Below are 21,252 nucleotides of genomic sequence, written 5' to 3'. Positions count from 1 at the left end.
ACAGTCTCTTCTGGCCAGAGAACATTTAAATGTTTCCCATTGTCACAACAGACAAGATAACAAAGGAGTCAGATCAAAGAATGCTAATCCTGGTTAGAGGAGGCAATTACTCAAGAGAACAGAGATAAGGAATAAGGTAATTCCAGTGAGAGGAGCACAAAGCATCACATAGGTGCTCCTAGGGTTTACAAGCAAAGAATCATCTGCATAGAACCTTGAAGCAAGATTTTTTTTTTGAGACAGGGTCTTGCTCTGTTGTCCAGGCTAGAGTGCAGTGGTGCAATCATGGCTTACTGCAGCCTCCATTTCTTGGGCTCAGCTGATCCTCCCCTCTAAGCCTTCCAAGTAGCTGGGACTATAGGTGCATGTCACCATGCCTGGCTAGTTTTTTGTAGACACAATTTTTTGTATTTTTTGGGTTTTGTCTCCATTGCCCAGGCTAGGACTGAAGCAAGCCACCCACCTCAACCTCCCAAAGTGTTGGCATCACAGGCATGATCCACCACACTCAGCCTTGAAACCAGATTTAAATATCTCAGCCCAGACAGTGTCTTAACAGAAACAGAACAGCTGAGGCAAAAAAAGAAGATTCTCTTAGCCCAAAGTCAGTGCCCTCATCCAAACTACTTAATTGTGATGACCAGTACCTTGATAAGAGCTGGAATGGATATTACATTATAATTTATTCAATACATCTGTTAAAACAAAGGTGTCAATTTTTGCTTCTCCTTAAAAGTCTTTAGGCTGGCATTTTAGGGTAAAATAGAAGGGTATTATATATCCAATCTCAAGTTGTCTATCTAGCAATTTTTCTCTAAATCAAGTTCTTTTCATCATCTCTAGCTCCACTAACGGGCAAAATTTTTCCTCCTTGCTAGTCCGAAACCCCTGAGAGGTAGCATCTCTGTTCTCATGAGTACCAAAAATGGGAAAATGTGGGACAATTCTCATTTCTCTTTACTGCTCTGCCCCTTTGTTTATCGTATTAATTACACAGAAGACTGCACAGATATATTAGATTTTACTGATTGGTTGGAGGTGGCTGATGAAAATTATAATGTAGGGTGAGAAAAAAAAGCTATTTCTTTTTCTTTTGAGACAGGGTCTCTTGCCCAGGCTGGAGTGCAGTGGCAGTATCTTGGCTTGCAGGAGCCTCAAACTCCCGGGCCCAAGAGATCCTCCCACCTCAGCCTCCCAAATAGCTGGAACTATAGGTGCACCACACCTGGCTAATTTTTGTATTTTTTGTAGAAACAAGGTTTCGCTATGTTGCCCAGGCTGGTCTCGAACTCCTGAGCTCAAATGATACACCCACTTCGGCCTCCCAAAGTGCCAAGATTACAGGCGTGAGCCACCGTGCCTGGCCGAAAGAGCCATTTCTGTGTAATTTTTCTGCATAGTTTAAAATAAAACCATGTAAGAAACTGACTGTCATAGGCAGTTATAGTTCTCCCCAGTCCTTGTTCCTTTAAGTTTAGATCTCTTTGTAAGAATATAAACTTCTAACTCTGCCCATAGCTCCCCATGTACTTTTCAGGTAATTCTATCTTTAGTCATGAAAGTTGATGTTCCCTTAGGATTCACGCTTCTTTTCTCAGCAGTATCTTTAGCCAAATCTGAATTAATCTGTTCAGAATGAACAAGCAGAATAGTCTTTGGATTTGATCCAAATCCCTGAAGCACTTTGGGAATGAGAATGGCTATGCCAGACAGAGAGACCCTGGCGACTTATGATACTGCAGAACACAACAGGCACTTCAGATTGGTCCCAGGTAAGGCTTCTCCACCACTGTGTCACACACTTCTCTTTATTCTTTCACTTGTCTGACAAATAACAGTTGAATCCAATATCTACCCCCAAAGCCCCCTTTTAAGGACAGACTAAACCCGTATGAAAGAAAAAAAATGTTTTCTTACTAGTTCTGTAATTTGCAAAGTCAAATTCTTCTCTTGAGGTGTAATTGATATAATACACAGAGTATTTCATGTCATACTGTCTGCCTCTTCCCAACTTTGAATTGCAGACTTGGGTCCATTAGAAATAAGAAACTGATCATTTACTGAGTTAAGCATTTCCATTTAATCATCATTCCATCTTATATATTTTTCATTTTAGAGTTGGTTCAGTTATATTCAACAAATTCTTTTAAACCCTCATTTAGTCCTCTACGTACTGATATATATATAGATGCCTAAACCAAATGGACCTCATTTCCTTTAAAATTCTGATATCCAAAATAAGCAGCACCAGGTAAGTAACTCCTGTTATGGGATCTTGTCTGGGCATGCTATACTTTATACTAAATCACCTGAAATATTCCTTGGTTCTTAGGAAAACAAGCATCCTAGGTGATTTAGATAATTTAGGGTGCTTATTTGAAAAAAGGTTTGGGGCTTTATTTAATCATTTTATTTATATATTTTTAAATTATTTGAGCATAATAAAATATTAAAAGAGTGTTTTTCCTCCTTTGTTATTTCTGAAGTATTGAATTTATTTGCAGTTAAGTTGAGGGAGAGCAGTGATATTGAGCAGTCAGCTAAAGAAACAAAGCTGTAGAGGTAAGTAGACCAGGTCTTAGAAAACCTTGTCTTTCATGCTAAGAAGTTTAGACATAAAATCAATAGCTTAAGGCAGTGGGAATCCACTGTAGACCTCCCTTTTTTTTTCTTTTTTCCATTGAAGGATTTTTTACAGTAAAGTGACATGACTCTGTTTTTGTTTTAGAAAGATTAGGTTAGTGGCAGTGTAGAAAATAAATTTAAGAAGCATTGATCCATTTGTTCATCTAACAAATATTAAATATTATGAATGTTCTTTTCCCTCAGGGAGCTTAATTTTTTGAGGGAGACAAATGACAACCATTTATATAATAAGTAATTTATTTATACTTGGGAGGATTGCTATGAATGAGGAGTACAGCATTGAATAAGAATGTATAATGAGGAGGCCAGGCGCAGTGTCTCATGCCTGTAATTTCAACATTTTGGGAGGCCTAGGCAAGCTGATCACTTGAGTCCAGGAGTTGGAGACCAGCCTGGCCAACATGGTGAAATCCCATCTCTACTAAAAACACAAAAATTAGCCAGGCATGGTGGCAGGTGTCTGTAATCCCAGCTACTCGGGAGGCTGAGGCAAGAGAATCGCTTGAACTTGAGAGGCGAAGATTGCAGTGAGCCGAGATCAGCCACTGCACTGCAGAGTCTCACTCTGTCAGGAAAAAAAAAAAAAAAAAAAAAAAAAAAAAAAAAAAAAAGAATGTATAAGGAGAAAACTAGTTTTGTGGAGGTTCAGGGAAGCCTTCTAGAGAATAAGACTTGAGGCACAGAGACAAATTATGTCTGTTGCCTAACTGAAATTGGATGAAATTGAATCAGTTGGGGATATATCACATAGAATTAAATAGATCCCCCAAAGAGTTGATGATTATGTGTAAGTGGGGAAGCTAGGATTCTAGGAAGATACACAAGTATTTGGCTTAGACAACTGGATGGATGATGGTTGGGAGGTGAGGGAAGATGTTGATTTTGGAGTGTTCATAGGCCATGGTAGTTCACACCCCCAGAAAGTAATTGGGTATAGAAATTTGGAATAAAAGAAAAACCTTTGGACTAAAGATATCATTTTCGAGTCATTGAGACTGAGTTGATAAATATAGGTATAGAATTAGAAGAGATAATTTGTAAATAATTTTCAGAATGAGACTAGAAAAAACTTAGTACATAATCTTAAAAAATAGTAACATTTAAGGGATAGACAGGGGAAGTGGAATTCATGGAAAATACTGAGAAGAAACTAATAGAGAGCCAGGAAGGAAACTTTGGTGTCATGATCTGTGGAAGGCAGAGGAAGGACGAGGGCTTGGCCACTGATGTCAAATGCTACAGAGAGCTCGAGCAGATATGGAAAAGTATCAACCAGCTTTAGTAACAAAGGCATCACATGATCAGGATAGTTTCTGTGGAGTGGTAATGAAGGCCAGATTGCAAAGAATCACTGAACAATAAGGAGAAACAAATGCAGACCATTCATTTAAGATTCTTGACTATAGAGAGATGAAAGAGATCACCATGGATGAGTTTACTATAGTCTAAGCACTGTTTTAATTTTTTTTAAGATTTCTTTTTAATTTTTAGCTGATAAAGATCTGAGCATGTGATGAATATGGGAAAAAGCCAATCAGAGAAAGAATGGTCAGAGATACAGGAGAGTGGGAGTGTCCTGACAAGAGTGAAGTCCCACAGCAATAGGTGGGGTGGGATCCTGACCGCTGGTGGAGAGAGAGAGATGACTTCCTGTTAAAGTCAGCATTTGTCACTTTCCTCTTGATCTTGTAATAGAGTGATTACAACAGAATAAATTCATACAGTTTCACAGACGAGAATGAAAGAGGTGTCAGGAAAAAGAGGGAGTTCAACAAGATTCTAGAAGATGGAAAGTGAATGGCGTTTTCACAGATGTAGTAGGGAGGCTGCAGCCAAGAGGGTCTCAGAAAAGATATGAGTAAGAAGAAAAATGATTTTCTTGCAGAACCCAGTGAGGGTCAGAAGATATTTTTAGACGTTAGGTTCAGCAGAGAAAAGTTCAAAACATGGAGATGGAAGTCTATACATGGAATTGCCAATTACTACAATGTACATAATACTGGCATAATTTCCTCTAATTCCCAGTTAGAAGATCAGAAGTTTCTTCTCTAAGTAAATTGGACAGTGTCCCCCCACCCCCCCCAACAAATGACCTCTAAATGGTGTCATTTAAGAACCCTGGTATAATAACTTGTTTACTCAGTCATCTCCCTAAAGCAAATCAGCCAGTTGAAACACTTCATTCATGTTAGCAGAACCTTAAATATGAACAAAGGCTAAGGGATCGCTAGAGATTTGAGATAACATGAACACAAGTGGAAAACAAAGAAATCTCTGGTCCTCGAGGAAATACATATAGTGCAAAGAACAAGAGAGAAACAATGTGTAGCAACTTGGATATAGCTGGAGGCCATTATTCTAAATGAAGTGACTCAGGAATGGAAAACCAAATGTGATATGTTCTCACTTATAAGTGGGTGCTAAGCTATGAAGATGTAAAGTTGTAAGAATGATGTAATGGACTTTGGGGACTCGAAGGGGAAGGTTGGAAGGGAGGTGGGGGATAAAATACTACATATTGGGTATAGTGTACACTGCTCGGGTGATGGGTGCACTGAAATCCTAGAAATCTGAAGAACTTACTCATCTAACTAAAAATCACCAGTACCCAGAAAAACTTTTCAAAAACAAATGACAAAGGACTTGTATAGTAATTTCACTGAAGAGATATACAATACTATACAAAGAGATATATATTACTATACAAAGAGACTTGTATAGTAATTTCACTGAAGAGATATACAAATGACAAATAAGCTCAGATTTCCAAATGGCAAATTGAAGATGTCCAACATCACTGATTATTAGAAAAATGCACATAAACATTTTATTATGGACACACAGTTACCATAATAGAATATTATTCGGCCTTAAAAAAGGAGGGAGATTCTGACACAAGTTACAACATGGAGAAACCTTGAGGATATCATGTTAAATGAAATAAGCCAGTCATAAAAGGACAAATGGTGTATGGTTTTACTTATATGTAGTCCTTGGAATAGTGAAACTCATAGAAAAAGAACTAGAAAGCTGATTGCCAAGGGCTGAAGGGAGAGGGGAAAGGGGAATGATTGTTTAATTGGTATAAAGTTTTGAAAAATAAAGAGTTCTGAAAATGGAAGAAAAAAGAGAGAAACACCAAATAAATTCTAATTAGTATTCTCACGGGAATTAAGGATGCCTTGAGAAGGGAATTCAGAGACCAAAAAATAGATCCTGGAAATAGAAAATATTCATTAAAAATTTTAAAAATTCTATAAAGTAAATGAAAGATAATGTTGAGAAGAATCTCCCAGAAAGTATCACAAAATAGCTAAATGGAGGGCAGATATTTCATGGAAATCCCTAAAAAAGATTTTAAATATATTTTGTATAAAAATTTAAAGTTGTTGATATACAAAAGAGGAGAAAGAGCTGATGGAGATACCCAAGATTGTTAGGCAGTAAGTGATTCTGGGAAAGGTAGTGATAAAGGCAACAGCAGAGACAGCTGTGGTTACACAGCTGTGTGAATTTCAACAAGCAGTGTAACCTCTTTGACATTTCTCAACAGTAAATTCAAGACAATCGGACAATCATTAAGAAGGCTAAATTAGTTCAAATAAGAAGCAGCACCTGCCTTATAGTAAATGCTCTCTAAGTGTTGGCAATTAATATGACCCAAATCTCTTTTTCTTTGGAAAACCAAGCTCTTGGGAAAAAAAAAAAAATCAAAACACAGATAGGGATTCTATGTTCAAAAATCCACACTTGTAGATGAGCCTTTACTTAACTTTCAGACCATTTGTTCTGCTATGAGTTAAAACATTCATTTCGCTGCTCCTTTAAATTCTTCGTTCTGTCTGTAGTGTTGTGCCTCTCTTCTCCCAAGGCACCGGGGAACACTGTGGAATTACAAGGATAACAAACTTGGTGTCTAACTCTAAAGTTAATTGCATCACAGGAACAGATGTAAGATTTCAAATGTTACAAGATCTACAAAAGAGTCAGATGATGGCAGGATTATATGTTCTTGAGGTTTAAAATAGTGATAACCCAGACTTAGGTTGAAACAAACAGCAACCCCTGTAGCTTCTGTAGAGGAAGTGAGGCCTGCTTTGATGGGAATTCTCATTTGGACATGCAGGAAACATGATGAGTATTTCTCCTGGGCCTCTACCTGTAATAGTAGCAACCCTCAGTGGAAAAAAAGGACACTTTTGTGGAAGGGGTAACTTTTCTTCCTTTTTGCTTCTTTCCTCAGGGACATTCCACTTTCCCAGGCTTTTGTATGACCTGGTATGGTTTTTGTGATTATGACAGGATTTTCTGTTCTTATGCACTGTGTGTAAGTTCCCTGTAAGTCTGAACCAAGCCTATAATCTTTCAGTTTTCTGTAAATCTTGACGCAGGCCCCTCCAAGGCTTTGTGTTTCCAAGTATTGGAATTGTGATTTGATTGGGAAGATGTATGAATCAGGGCACATGGCTGCAAGTGACAAAAAGATCTTCTCAAAACAACTTTATCAAAAAGAAATACTTGTTTGCCTACCTACCTGGAAAGTCTGGAATACAGCTGACTTCAGATATAGTGGAGTACAATAGCTTAAATGAGAATTAGAGATGTCTCTCTGCTTTTCATCTCTGCTTATTTCTGTTTGTGTTAGCACATTGGGCCTCTTTTTCTGGTGATACAGACAGGCTTCTTCCATACGACTTGGGAAGATGGCTATTAAGCAGCTTAAATTTAAATCTTCCTAGAATTGTGACTCCAAAGGCAAAGAAGGAAGTGCTCCTAATTTGAACTAATCTAATAGTCACATGGAGGATTCTGACTGGCCCATGTGGGGCCTTGTGCTCATGTTCTAAGGAATCATTGTTGCTTGAAGCATGGACAACTCTGGCCTGACATGGTCCCTGGCTCGTACCTGTGACAGGACACTGAGGTAAGGGGGAGGCCTTTCTCAATGAAGAGGGGATGTGCTGTTATCACACATGTAGCAGATAAAACTATAGTTACTGCATTTAACATGATGAGAGAAAAGAGGAAGCCGATCCTCTTTCGTTTTCATTATATCTTTGGCTTGATAACCATATTCAATCTTAGCTCCTCAGAGACCTGGTGGATATTCTTGATTATTAAATTAGTGCTTGGCAGATATATTTGGCAATTGGCATTCATACACATTCGCGCACAATATTATGACAATACATTTTGAATAATGCTTTTGATTGAGCTGTTTATTCATTCTCACTTTCAACAAGCTTCTGTCAAGTACCTAGTACAGGACATGTACTAGAACAAGTCATGGTCTCTGCCCTCATCAAATTTACAGTGTAATGAAGGAGGAAGAGACAGATAGACAGGCACATACCCTTTGAAACTGTACTAAGTACTACAAGATTATATAACAAGAGTAGATACCTTGGTTATATAGGCATATGAGAGACACTGTCTCACAAGAAGTTATATTTAGGTGGAGTCTTGAATGATGAATTCAAGTTAATCAGTTGAAGGTCTTAAGAATGAGCTTCTAGGGAGAAGAAACAACATGTGTGAAGGACCCAGATTGGAAGGAAAGTACTGAATGATATCTGCTGTATGAGACCGAGGAGAGTGAAGGGCACAAAATGTGAGGTGAAAGATGAAGTAGTAGATCATATAGGGCCTTACAGGCTGGACTATGAACTGCACATTTTTATCCTACATACTAGTGGGGAGTCCCTGAACGATTTGATTCAAGGCAGTGATAATTTGATGTATGTTGGCAAAAATCATTCTGGTTATTTCATTCATTTATTTGTTTGGGCTATGGACTGTGGAACTAGGGCACAAGACTGCTTGGGCTTGAAGTCTAATTCTTCCACTTACATGACCCAGAAGAAGTTATCTAATTTCTTTGTGCCTCCATTTCCTCATCTGCAAAATTAGACTAGCAATAGTAACTACCCTCATAGGGCTGTTAAGAAAATTAAATGAGTTAAAATGTATAAAGGTAAGAAAAGTCAAATACTGCATGTTCCCACTTAAAAGTGGGAGCTAAACATTGGGTACACACGGACACAAAGATGGGAACAACAGACACTGGGGACACTAAAAGAGGGGAGGGAGAGGGTCAAGGGTTGAAAAACTACCTATTGGGTACTGTGTTCACTATTTGGGTGACAGGTTCAATAGAAGCCCAAAGCTCAGCATCACACAATATATCCATGTAACAAACCTGTACATGTCCCTCCTGAATCTAAAACTTAAAAAAATAGGAAAGAAAGAGAAGTGCTTTGTATATAGCATTATCTAAATCTTTGCTATTATTGTTATTTAACATATCTTTATTGAGCAGCTGCTATGAGACAGACATTGAGGAAGTATGAAATTGTCTTTGCAAAGTATGACAGTGTTTGCTCACTAGAGAAATTATGTAATAAGGGTCAGAGAGTGTTGGGTGTCATTTTGAATTTGGGTGATCCTGATTTTATAAGGTTATCAGTCTGCCCACTTTGCAATTATGCAGGTTATTGTCTATAGATTTTAGAGTTAGACAGGCAGAACCTGAATTTTATTTCTGGCTTTGCCTCTTACCAAATATCTTCATTTAATAAGTGTCAGTACCCTTATCTGTAACATGGGAACGTTAAATGTACCTACCTCATACTGTTACTATAAAGAATAAACAAGATTATATATGTATGTATATATGTATGTGTGTATTTATACATATTGAATTTTTAGCACTGTGTGTGCTACATGATAAGAACTCACTAAATGGTAGTTACTGTGAATCCTAATTTAAGAAGTCGTGATGGTATGTTTATTTCAATGCAAATTTCCGTGCTTAATGTATTTGTCTGTCTAATATGCGCTCTGAGCTATTGACAAATTGGATTCATTGTTAGTTGCTTAAAATATACCCCAAAGAGGAAGAATGCACACTGGGCTAGTATTATAGTTATTTTTAACTATAATAAAAAATGGAATGGAAAAAAGCAGAATAGAAATAAGAGAGATTTACAATGTTGCTAAAAATACTTATGGATTTCTTAAAGCTTTGATGATGAAATTATAAGCTAAATTTATGTTAAAAATAATTATTGAAAAGAAGAAGATAAAATTGTGGAAGAGATATATCCAAAATACTTCCTTAGCTAACAAAGAATTAACATTTTAAAATTATCATTTTTAAAACTTGCATATGGAGCTTCAAATTTTATCCTCTTATTATTTTAAGGAAACAAATAAATTTAGTGAATTTTATAAAGCACAAATGTTTGCTCTTTAAAAGATGAAGTCTGATTTAAATATCTTTTTGTCATTTTCAAACTTATTTTCAAATCTACCCTTCTGATTCCTATTCTTGTCTCTAAACATGCATTATTATATGCTAGAGCTAGATGGATTTAATTTTTTATGATCTAACACAAATAGAAAGTGAAATATGAAAAGGATATTTCCATTTACATAGCAATAAGTTAACATTAAATCTAGCTTTATGATGTTTAACTTTGAGGTATCCTGCCAAAACACAATTGACTGATAGGATGGAAATGAAAGCCACTAATGGGATGCCTTGTTCTATAAATCAGAGTTGAGGATTATGGAGCTAAGGTCATTTTCTTTATCGCTCTTTGAGGGAAGGCAAAGTAAGTAAACAAGCTTAAATGAGTCTATGGGCCTGGGTTCTCTGCAGGGATACTAAGAGAAGACTAAGACTAAGAGGTAACTGACCTCGGGAAGTTTATCAGCCTGTGGCAGATACCTACAACCACTCAGGAAACAAACTAGGAGTAGGTGCTTGCAAGTAAATTGACTATAGGAGAAAGAAAAGAACAACATTAGAAAGAGAAGATCACACAGAGGAAAAGTGAATTATAAGGTGAAACGCCCAGCAAATATCCTGTAATTCCTCTGCACTGCACAAGCCAGAACATGATTCTAATTCTTCCATGCTAGAATTGACAACACAATCTACTGAGAGAGGTTCTTTAGCATTTAAAAAATATGAGAATAAAGATTTATTTGGCAAAAATTTTCTTATTATTAAAAAAATTTTAGATAATTTTTTACAGCCCTCTGTGCAGAAGACACGTATCTCATAAAGGAAAGACATTTATATATACACACGCCTTGCATTTTAAGCCTCAAATGATTCTTCTAAAAATACAAAGTATAAACTAGGTATTTGGCACGAAAAATTTAAAAGAAGAATGTACAATGTCTCTTTTTTTAAAATAAAATATTTATTTCAACTTTGCAGGAAACTAATGCTTTATTTGTTATTAAATTCAGTTCCTTTTTCACCTCCACATTTTCTCCTAGACCACTGGAATTTCCTCTAACTCTTTGATTGCTCGCTTGTTTTTATGTGTTTTGCCCTGCTTATTTTCCTTTTTCTGGCTAGTTTCAGCGTCTAGTGAAACTACACAACTGTAGTCCAGTAGTTCCCTGAACTTCAGCTTTAATGAACAAGAAAGTAAAAATACATTAGGGGACACCAACATGGGATTGCCAATTTCCTTTTTGTTTTGCTAATGAGAGACATTAAAAATAAATTTCAAAATACTGAATAAAGACTCAGAAGAGTGGGAGGGTGAGAGGGGGTGAGAGATGAGTAGATGGTGAGAGGAGGGAACCATGTACACTATTCAGGTGATGGTTATACTAAAAGCCCACTACACAGTCTATCCATGTAACAAAACTGTGCTCGTGCTCCTTAAATGTACACACATTAAAATAAAATACAGAATAGATTTAGTTTTATACAAAATTCCCTACATTGTTCTTATGTCTGTTATTTCCCCCTGGTCTGGTGAGAAATGTGTTATTGGCTGATCCCAGTCCGGAGCCCCACTTTGGATGTGCTGCTCTACTCCAAGAGAATTAGTCTAAAGGATCTAAAGCTTCAGGTTAAGAACAAAGAGTTAGTTCCCTATATCCTTTGTTCTATGATTACAAAAATTTACATAAAAACACTTTTAAAATTATGTGTTCTTTTTTGTTAAAGGAAATATAATCTTCAGTGACTCTTCATGATGTTGAAGGTGAAATCTCATTTGGAGATGATTACTTTTTCTTTTCTTTTTCTTTCTGTCTTTTTTTTTTTTTTTTTTGAGATGGGGTCTTACTCTGTTGCCTAGGCTGGAGTGCAGTGGTGTGATCACGGCTCACTGCAGCTTTGACCTCCCAGGCTAAAGTGATCCTCCTGCCTCAGCCTCCTGAGTAGCTAGGGCTACAGGTGTGTGCCACTACACTCAGCTAATTTAAAAAAAATTTTTTTTGTAGAGACAGAGGTGTCACTATGTTGCCCAGGTTAGTCTTGAACTCATTGACTCAAGCAATCCTCTTGCCTTGGCTTCCCAAAGTGCTGGGATTAACAAGAGTGAGCCACCATGCCCGGCTGGCTTACATTTTCATTATCTGGGCCCCATTTGCTGTTACAGCCTTTTGCTACCACTTACACTCCCTTCCATATGTGGGTCTCCATACACCCCTGTCTGAGGTCCAGTCCTACTGAATTGCCAGGCTCCTTTATGCTTTAACATGTGCTGTTTATTTTCTGAGGACTTTTCATTTAAAACCCAATTTAAAGACCAACTCCTTGAGGGAGCCTACCTGGGTACCTCCAGGTAGAGGCAGTGACTTCTTCCTCTGTGTTTTTCTAAAAGAGCTCCTTAAAGATAGAAACTATGTTCTTTGAGATTTTTGTTATGCAAATGTGCATTGCTCTAAAGTTAAAATGTATTAGGCAAAACTTACCCTAAATTTTGAAATTTTAATCTTTCTTTTAACATGATTAAAATCTTAGGCAAGACTCCTTTTGTACTGGCTTGTGTAGGCAAAAGAAAGCAGTATAGAGATTTATTCTCCCACTGGCATGAAAGCTGTGATTCTGACCACCTTCTACATCACTGTCTACCACCCCTACACCAGCTCTTAGAAGACAGAGTAACTACAGGCAAGTGTTTTGTTTGTTTAAGATAGCACACTACACGCTCAATATATCTATGTATATACATGAATAATGAAAAAAAATATCTGGATAGATACATACACACAGTCTCTACTCACACATACACACAGAAAAGTGAACAATGCTTATGGATATATATTTTCCTTTATTGTGAACAACTTTCCATGCCAATAAATGTACTTTTATTTCATTATTTTTCTGCTAGCTGCCTGGATGGCTATATTTTATTTAGATTTTTAATTCTTTGGAACAGTGTTCTAGAATAAATATTTGTCAAATGAAGGACAAAACATCTCCTCAGTGCTTTCATCTAAGCCTGATTTGAGACTCTAATGAGTCCAGAAGTGACCTTAACTGCAACCTCCAATAGGAAAACAGGAAGGAAAATGATAGAGAAGTGGTGGCAATGGAGTGACTCATTCTGTTTTTGTGTTTTTCCCCTCCTATCATAAAGTAAAAAACAGTAGCTGAAAAAAAGATGTGGTTTCACAAAACATCATCATCATTTCCTTACTAAAATGACAATGTAGCAACATATGATTATGAAAATTGACTTGGGTGCCCAGATTATATGCCCTTGACGCAGGATGCAACAGTTACTTTACCCAAAACATTACCTTTACTGAGGTATTAAGAATTCTGACATCATGTTCTGAAATAAAGTAATTGACAAAACAATAAATTGATTTGAGATTTGAATTGATTTGAGAAACTCTTTAAATATATGGATTGCATTATATGACTGGCAAGAGACATGCAATTGGGAAGGACCTACCCTCAGAGTGCCTAAGATTGGTGCCTAATGATGTTATGAGGCTCACCTGCCCAACACTAGGAAGGAAGAGAAGAACTTACAAACTTCTCTAAAAATCTTGACCTTGAACTATGGCCTCTCTCTGCTCCTGTCCTCCTTATGGACCTGACCACCTAGTGATTTGAGTAGGATGTGAAGGTGCCATGGCCCAAACCCCAAACCATCATCTATTGAATAAGGTCTGTTGTTGCCTAGAGGAACTCCCAACCACCATCTTCCCAGCCTTTGTAAAGGAGCCATTGTTCTAAATAGGGAGAGAAGCCCTTTACTTTACCTTTTCCTCCAACAGGCTTCAGGGAATAGCTGTGGTTCCTTAACGTTGTGAGTTGCCTAGTCAAGAGCCAGTCTCCCTTTTTCTTTGTTAGCGAAGCCCTGACTTCTCTTCCTGTGCCTCGAAGGTAAAACACTGCTCAGTTTTGGTAATACTTTTGTCTTATCAGAGACTGGTGTAAGGATGAGTATGTGATCTAGGTCTAGCTGATAAGAACTCAGCTGGAGAGCTTCTGGAAAAAATCTCTTCATTATTAAAAGGAGATGCAGGGATGAAACAGTCTCTTTTCTTACATAGGATGCTGTGGTACCTGGAGTGATGCCAGACTGCAGAGGCCACCTGGTGACATGAGGAGAGATTCAACTTAACATGGTGAGGATGGCAGAGTAGAGCTAAAGTGGAAAAAGCATTTCCCTGATGAATTTAAGAAGCTACTGAATAAATATGTCTGGAAGTACCTAACTCTGGACTAAGTGGCTTTATTTGGTTAAATTGAGATTCTACTTCTTGTAGCCAGAAGCAAACTTATTGTTTAATTCTCAATATTAAGAAGTCCTAATGATTCCTTCTGTTGCTTCTACCAAATCTGGTTTTAGAACTCCTGGGACACACATATTCTTTATCATATAGGAATCTTTACTAACACTATTCCATCTATGGAAAATAACTGTTTATTGCACTGCTATTTAATGAAAATATATTGATCCTTTTAATCTAGTCTAAATCCTATTACCTGAGATAGCCTTCCAACATTCCACCAGGCAAAATGACTTCCTTTAGTCTATGTATTGCACTTGGTTTGGATCAGCCTTTCTGCAGTTATCCTTTTTTGCTTTAATCTATATGTATACATTACTGAATCTCTTCAAGTAGATATAAACCTTCTTTAACACAGAAATGAAATAATTTTTTTCCAAATGATTTAAGGAATCATGCATCTTTTTTTCCCATCAAGATCTCTCCTACAGCCCTGGTACAGTACCTCTTAGCAGGCGCTCCTTACGATTTACCCAATTGGTCATGTGTGAAATGAAAAGGTTGAATTAAATGATATTGACAATCTCTTCTGACTATAAGATACAGTGATGATGTCTACACTGAAGTGAAACCATACTTCTCACAGATATATAGAAGTTTGAGAGTTAAACATGAAAAAAAGGAAAACTCTAAGCGTGGATGGTGGTGAAATACAAATATCTTGTATTTTTTAAAATATCACTGTTTTTAATACTACTAATTTTGAACATCTTTACTCATGATATTTACTTTTTGGTGATTATCCAGGATAGCTCTTTGAAAATGCAGAAAGTCCTGTTGTTTAGGAAGAATGTACTAGAAATAGAGTCTCATAATACGTGGCCAATCATAAATATTTTACAGGCCTGCCAATATTTTGGGATTTATTGTAGAGTCCTCTGCCCTTGTTTTAAACTTTGCACACCCATGACATGTTGGGTTTGGAGGAGGATTTGCTTTGTTTGGGGGAAACACTCCAGTGGGCTATTTTTGAATTATGTTTGACATTTAGACTTGGAAATACTGTATTTCCAAGATGCTTATCCCTCAATAAGCTCGCAATGCTTATGTAAAAGTATATCAAGAGAAAATTTTAATCACCTGTTGATGTGATTTTTTTCATAAAGGACTTCCTTAATGTGGACTTCTCTTCGTGTAGATTAAGTGGTGGGTACAAAAATAAACACAAGATGGGGGAAAGTATTCAAGGTTCAAGAACTCAGACTTATCCCTTAATTATTTTGCTCTTATTCTCATTTCTAAGATTTATGAACCTAGGAAAGACACACACACGCACACACAAAATCCCTAGAGACTCTGTGTTTTGGTTTAGCTTAATGATGGATCAAATCTCTGCTTGTTTTTCCACTGGTACCTTGATTAGTTCTATTGGCTCACATGAGAACAGGCAGCTAGGTACACATTAGCTTCTTGCAAGGTTCCACTGAAGAGATGGAGTGGAGGTGGGGGTGTGGAGGAGACAATAGGAGGAAGAAAATGAAGACTGATGCAGGAAGACAAGGGAGGGAGAGCAGGGAGCTTCATGCATTCCTTGGCTGGGCATAGAAAATGGTGACTTTACCTAGCTGCAGAGCTGAAGCTTCTTAGGTAGAAATCCTGCCCTGTGCTTGTCTAGAAGGAGACACAGCGTGGGGAATTTAGCAGAGTTACCTGCAGCTAAGGCCAAAGCAATTGCAAACTGTAGAAGTGGAAGGCACTTGTTGTGTTAAATCAAACTATGTTTTTGACTAATGATCATTTTCTCAAAATGAAAAGTAGCCATGAAACCAACCTGTTTTCAGTTTCTATAAAACACAACAGTTCAATATCTCTGCACCTTTGCTCATGTTATTCCCTCTATCTGGACACATCCCTGTTTCTCCACCTATCTCTTACCCTTTCCCCCAAACCTGAGAGAACCTAAACATTCCTTAAACTCCCCTTTTCTCTGAAGCCTCTTCTGACCTCACTTTCACCTCTAATCAGGTAGAATTTACCATTCTGATTTTGAGCTTCCCACTATAAATGATAAAATTTGTTGTAGCCCCTATAATACCTTAGTGAATTTATTTTCTATATTTTTCTTCTATTATTGTGTTTTTACCCTCTTTAGGGCAGGGACTGATTCCTAATTATCTTTATATCCTTAGAATTCAGCACTGAGACTGGCTTATTGTAGGGATTTAGTATATGTTAGTCCTGTGCGTAAGTAAATGAAGAGTGGTGAGGGAGGAGGTTTAACGACTAAATTGGTAAGGGCAAAAGGATTTCATACCCTTACTTGGTAGATCTGTGCGGTGGTGGTTACCACCCTACAACTTCTTCAGAAGCTGTCATTTCCATGGGGCGTGGAGCTCTGCAATGAGGAGCGTCCCTTCCCTGCTCTGTTTAGGAATCCTACTATTAGTATACTTTCTGGGCTTATCTTCTCTTTCCCCAACTAAATCCCTTGTGACCTCATGGAAAAAATGAAAAATAACCAGTTATCTGAAAAAGTTTGCTTATTTGCACCTAAATTTATTCAACAACCTTCACCAAGTATTTACTGAGTATTTATCATGCTCCCAGCACGATGATAACCTACATGAGAGCTAGGGGATATTGCAATTTGCAAAATCTACACAAGTCACTGTCACTCCTTTGAGGTTCCCAAGAAAAAAATTCCAGAAAGCAATTCACCAGTGCCCTACATTTTAATTTTGTTCTTATATTTATTGGGGATGAATGAAGAGTTCAGCAGGAAATTTCTCCTTTGCTCTGGAAGGTATTTGGCCTTATAGAAAAGAATATTGGCTTTGGAGGCAGCTAGAACAGTCTTAGACTCCCTTCTCTTCATTTGAAGCTATATGGTAATTCACTCAACACCTATAAACATCAATTTCTTTATCAACAAAAATGATAATACCTATACTTTGTAATTATATTAAGAATTAAATGATATAATGAACACGTGAACACATCTAGGAAACAACGGTGCTCACAAAATGTTAGGTACTCTCAGTATTATTATTATTTCACATAGTGCAGAGTGCTAAGAGTAATACCCTTCAGCAAACCTTGTGCCATCTTTATGAATGTGTTATGATTTGCACATTTAGAGCAGACTGTATCTATTAATTCTTTTGTGGAGTGATAGGGATTGCTTATAACATACTGTAAAAATACCTTGATGGAGAAGAGAATCTGATAAGAGAATATCAAGGCTATCATCATTGTTACAACACTGGGATTTCTTCCTTGGAGTCTTGGAACTACTCCAGGCCCAGAATTCTCCAGCTCAGCTCTGCCAGGACTAGATGAGTGGTGGTATGTTGAGGCTCAAAAGATAGCACCAACCATAGAATTTGCACTATGGAGTTAAAAATACTCAAGTTTAAAACAAAATAGTGCTTCTCCCACTATGATGTCCATATCCTAAATCCCTAGAATGCATGAGTATGTTGCCTTATGTGGCAAAAGGGACTTTACATTACAAATGTGATTAAGTTAAGGACCTTGATATGCAAAAATATCCTGGATTATCCAGGTGGGCTCAGTGTCATCAAAGGGTCCTTATAAGAGGGACACAGGAGGAATCAGAATCTGATAAAGGAGATGGGACACTGGAACCTGAGTTTGGAATGATGTACATAGAAGATGGAGGAAGGAGCCACAAGCCAAAGGATGAAGGCGGCTGCAGAAGCTGAAAAGGCAAGGCATTGAAAGAATTCGCCCCTGAAGCTTCCAGAAGGAATGTAATTCTGCTGACAAATGCTGTTTTAAGTCACTATGTTTGTGGTAATTTGTTGCAGCAGCAATAGAAAACTACACACATATTAAGTTTGGATAAAGAAAATGTAGTATATTGTGGAATAATGAAATATATTCAGCCTTAAAAAAAGAAGGAAATCCTGCCACGTATAACAACATGGATGGGCTTGGAAGGCATTATGTTAAGTGAAGTAAGTCAGACACAGAAAGACAAATACTACATGATCTCACTTATATGTGAAATCTAAATAATAGTCAAACTCCTAGAAGCACAGAGTACAGTGGTGGTACCAGGGGTTGGGAAGGGAGGGAAGTGGGAAGACATTGGTCAAAGAGTACAAAGTTTCAGGTACGTGAGATGAATAAGTTCTAGAGATCTAAAATACAGCATGGTGACTATAGTTAACGGTACTCTATTGTGCACATGAGATTTGCTAAGAGAGTAAGAGAGATCTGCCAAAAAATAATTATTATATAGCTATGGATATGTTAACTAGCTTGATTGTGGTAATCGTTTTACAATGAAAATGTTTATCAAAACATCAAATTGTATGCATTAAATATATGCCATGTTTATTTGTCAATTATACTCCAATAAAGCTGGAAAATAAATCATTTTGGCACTTTGAATTGGAGCTTAGAGAAGTCAGAGCTGGAGGCATTTTTCAGTATGAAGTTGGTATTCCAGCTACAGGACTGGCGAACTTTGCTCTGCCACAGAGTGTAGGTGGAAAGTTTGGGCCCTGGAGCAGCAGGGGTCAAGCAGGGAAAGAGGAGCTCAGAAGGAGAGGCCAAGGAGGTGGATAAAACCTTCAGAGGGCAAGTGTCCCGGAAGCTAAGTGAATGAAGAACATGCTTAAGAATGAGGATGGAATCATCTTTGTCAAAAAAAAGTCTCTCTCAGCCTTGTTTCATTATCTAGAGATAATATACAAACAAAAATGGTCAGAGCTCCTAGAAAACCTTCCAAATGATTGTTGTACTTAATGCTATTATTGATAAATGAATTCAGATCTCTTTTGATTGTTCAGAAACATTTTAGGGCAGACCAACCTTGAAGCAACCCAGTTAATTTTTTTCCTTCTTTTAGCATCCTCTCTGTTTCGGTCTTAGTGGTTCCCTTATAATCATGGGTTCTATAGACAGTAGAGACTGGTCAAAAGACAGAAAACAAGCACTAACTTGGCTCTTTTCTTGTGTAAGGAATAGCTCTTGAAAGACAATAGCAAATGATGATACTTTGATGCAGCTAGAGAAAAGACTGTTTACTAAAGTACCCTGCCTGCTTTGCGCCTTTTCCAATGTAATTAAATGACAATAAAATCCCACATGAGAGTACATAAACAATTGCAGTGGAAAGACTGGAAACTTCATTATGCATTTATTAACTAAAGATTTGAGTAAATGATTGCTAACCTTTCTATTTTAAGACAGCCTGTTTATTTGATTTTTTGGTCATCAGTCACTCTCCGCTCTTTCTTATAAGAGTTGTAATGAAATAGTTTAACTATTTTAATTAAATTTAATTTTGTTCCAAAATTCTGATGTTCCTTAAGGTCACTGGAGAGAGTTGCAGTGTTAAAAACTACATATGGGAATAGCTGGGCTAAAAGGAAAAACAAGTGCACAATGGAGCTAATAATTCATTTCAACTTGAAAGCATTTCTTAGGATTTGCTGTCATTTAAAATCACTTTGAAGTCTAGTTTTTTAGTCAAGGGTTTTGGAACACCATTCATTCCTTGTCCTAGTCTACGGTGGCTCTAAGTTGGCCTTACCATCCCCGGATATTATAATAGATAGAGCTTCTTCCTTTTGCTTACAGAGTCGATTTGCTTACAGAGGCTCCTGATTTTCTTTCTAGCTCCATCTGATGCCTCTTTCCCCCTGGGCGTCTGTATTCCAGCATTTTATTTTTTGGAAGTGCCCTCCTATCTCCTGCTTCAGGGCTTTGGCAAGAAATGTTTTCTCTGTGGGAGCTTACACAAACCAGTCCTCAGAGTAGGAACATACATTCAATAGCTGGGCTTTAGGATCTGAGCCTAGGGCCCTCCAGGGAGGCCCAATAAACCTGCTAACATTTTGGCCAGTGCCACGGCATTGGATCTGCCTCTCTGGGGAAACCACTCCCCGCCACCCCCATCTTTTGTGGTTCCAAACCACAGTAGATGGCAGGACATCTTCATAGTCATGAGGAACCTGTTGTTCAAGTCCATAAGAATTGCCACAATATCATACGAAGCCACTTCTTCATCTAGCAAGCAGAGACTACTAATTCCCTCAGATCCCCTTCTTACCATGGAATCTGGCACATTTTAGACACTCAACAAATATTTGAAGAGTAAATGTATCCCTCCTGCTTTTCTTTCACTGTGCCATACTTTCCTCACATTCCCGTTTCCCTCCTTACTCAGATTAGTTCCTGCAATCCTTCATTATAATCAGTCTTTGTCTACCCTTCACTCCTTTCCCTCTATCTCCCTCTGTATTCATTTTCTACGCTGCAGTAACAAATAATTACAGACTTAATAGATTAAAACAACAGCTATTTGTGATTGCATCGTTTCCAAGGGTCAGAAGCCCAGGCACACGTTTACCAAGTCTTCTCCTCTGGTCTTACAATGCGGCACTAGTCAAGATGCAGAGTCTTCCCCTAAACTCACACAATCGTTGGCAGAATTCTTTGCTTACAGCTGTAGAACTCACACTGGTTTGTTTCTCTAAGGCCAGCAGGAGAGTGTCTCTGAGCTCAGAGAAGGTCTAAGGTTTCTGTGAAGGCTTGCTTGATTAGGTCAGGCCCACCCAGAATAATTTCCTTTTGATTAGAGACCTGTAAAATCTCTTTACCACATAACAACGTAATCGTGGGAGTGATGTGCCATCATATTCGCAGGCCCTGCCTACACTAAGGGGAAGATGTGTTTACCAAGGAATGTGGAATTCTGGGGGCCATCTTATTCTCTCTACTGCACTGCCTATTGCATGCATCCCCTGAAACCCCAGACTCCTCAGTTACATTTAACATTTCACCCAAATATATGTATTCACATGGCTGACAAAAATACACAAACATACCGATTGCTCTCACTTTAAATTCTCAAGCACAAACTGAACCCTCTTCAACTGGGCCTTCAAGGTTTCCAGCAACCCAGTCAGTTTGTTCTATTCCTCCTCTAGGTAAACACTCCCCTGTCATGTTCTCCTACCCCCACTTACAGCTTTCTAGAGTGAAAATTTAGACACGAATGGCGGATGACTCCACATGCCCTCACTACCAAATCTGCCATTTTCCTTGCGCCTGCGTCTATGCCCA

General features: G+C 37.8%; 1 long non-coding RNA gene across 1 annotated transcript; it reads left to right on the top strand.

The window, feature by feature from the left end:
• Window positions 1-1,617: 1,617 nt before the first annotated feature.
• On the top strand, window positions 1,618-14,131 carry RGS2-AS1 (RSG2 antisense RNA 1). The gene is made up of 3 exons (NR_126003.1): window positions 1,618-1,772; window positions 12,455-12,574; window positions 13,972-14,131. It is a non-coding gene; the product is annotated as an RSG2 antisense RNA 1 (long non-coding RNA).
• The last annotated feature ends 7,121 nt before the right edge of the window (window positions 14,132-21,252 follow it).

This window comes from Homo sapiens, chromosome 1 (genome assembly GCF_000001405.40).
Source record: "Homo sapiens chromosome 1, GRCh38.p14 Primary Assembly".
Lineage (NCBI taxonomy): Eukaryota > Metazoa > Chordata > Mammalia > Primates > Hominidae > Homo > Homo sapiens.
Note: the sequence above shows the minus strand (reverse complement) of the source record. Positions and strands in the feature narration are given on the sequence as shown.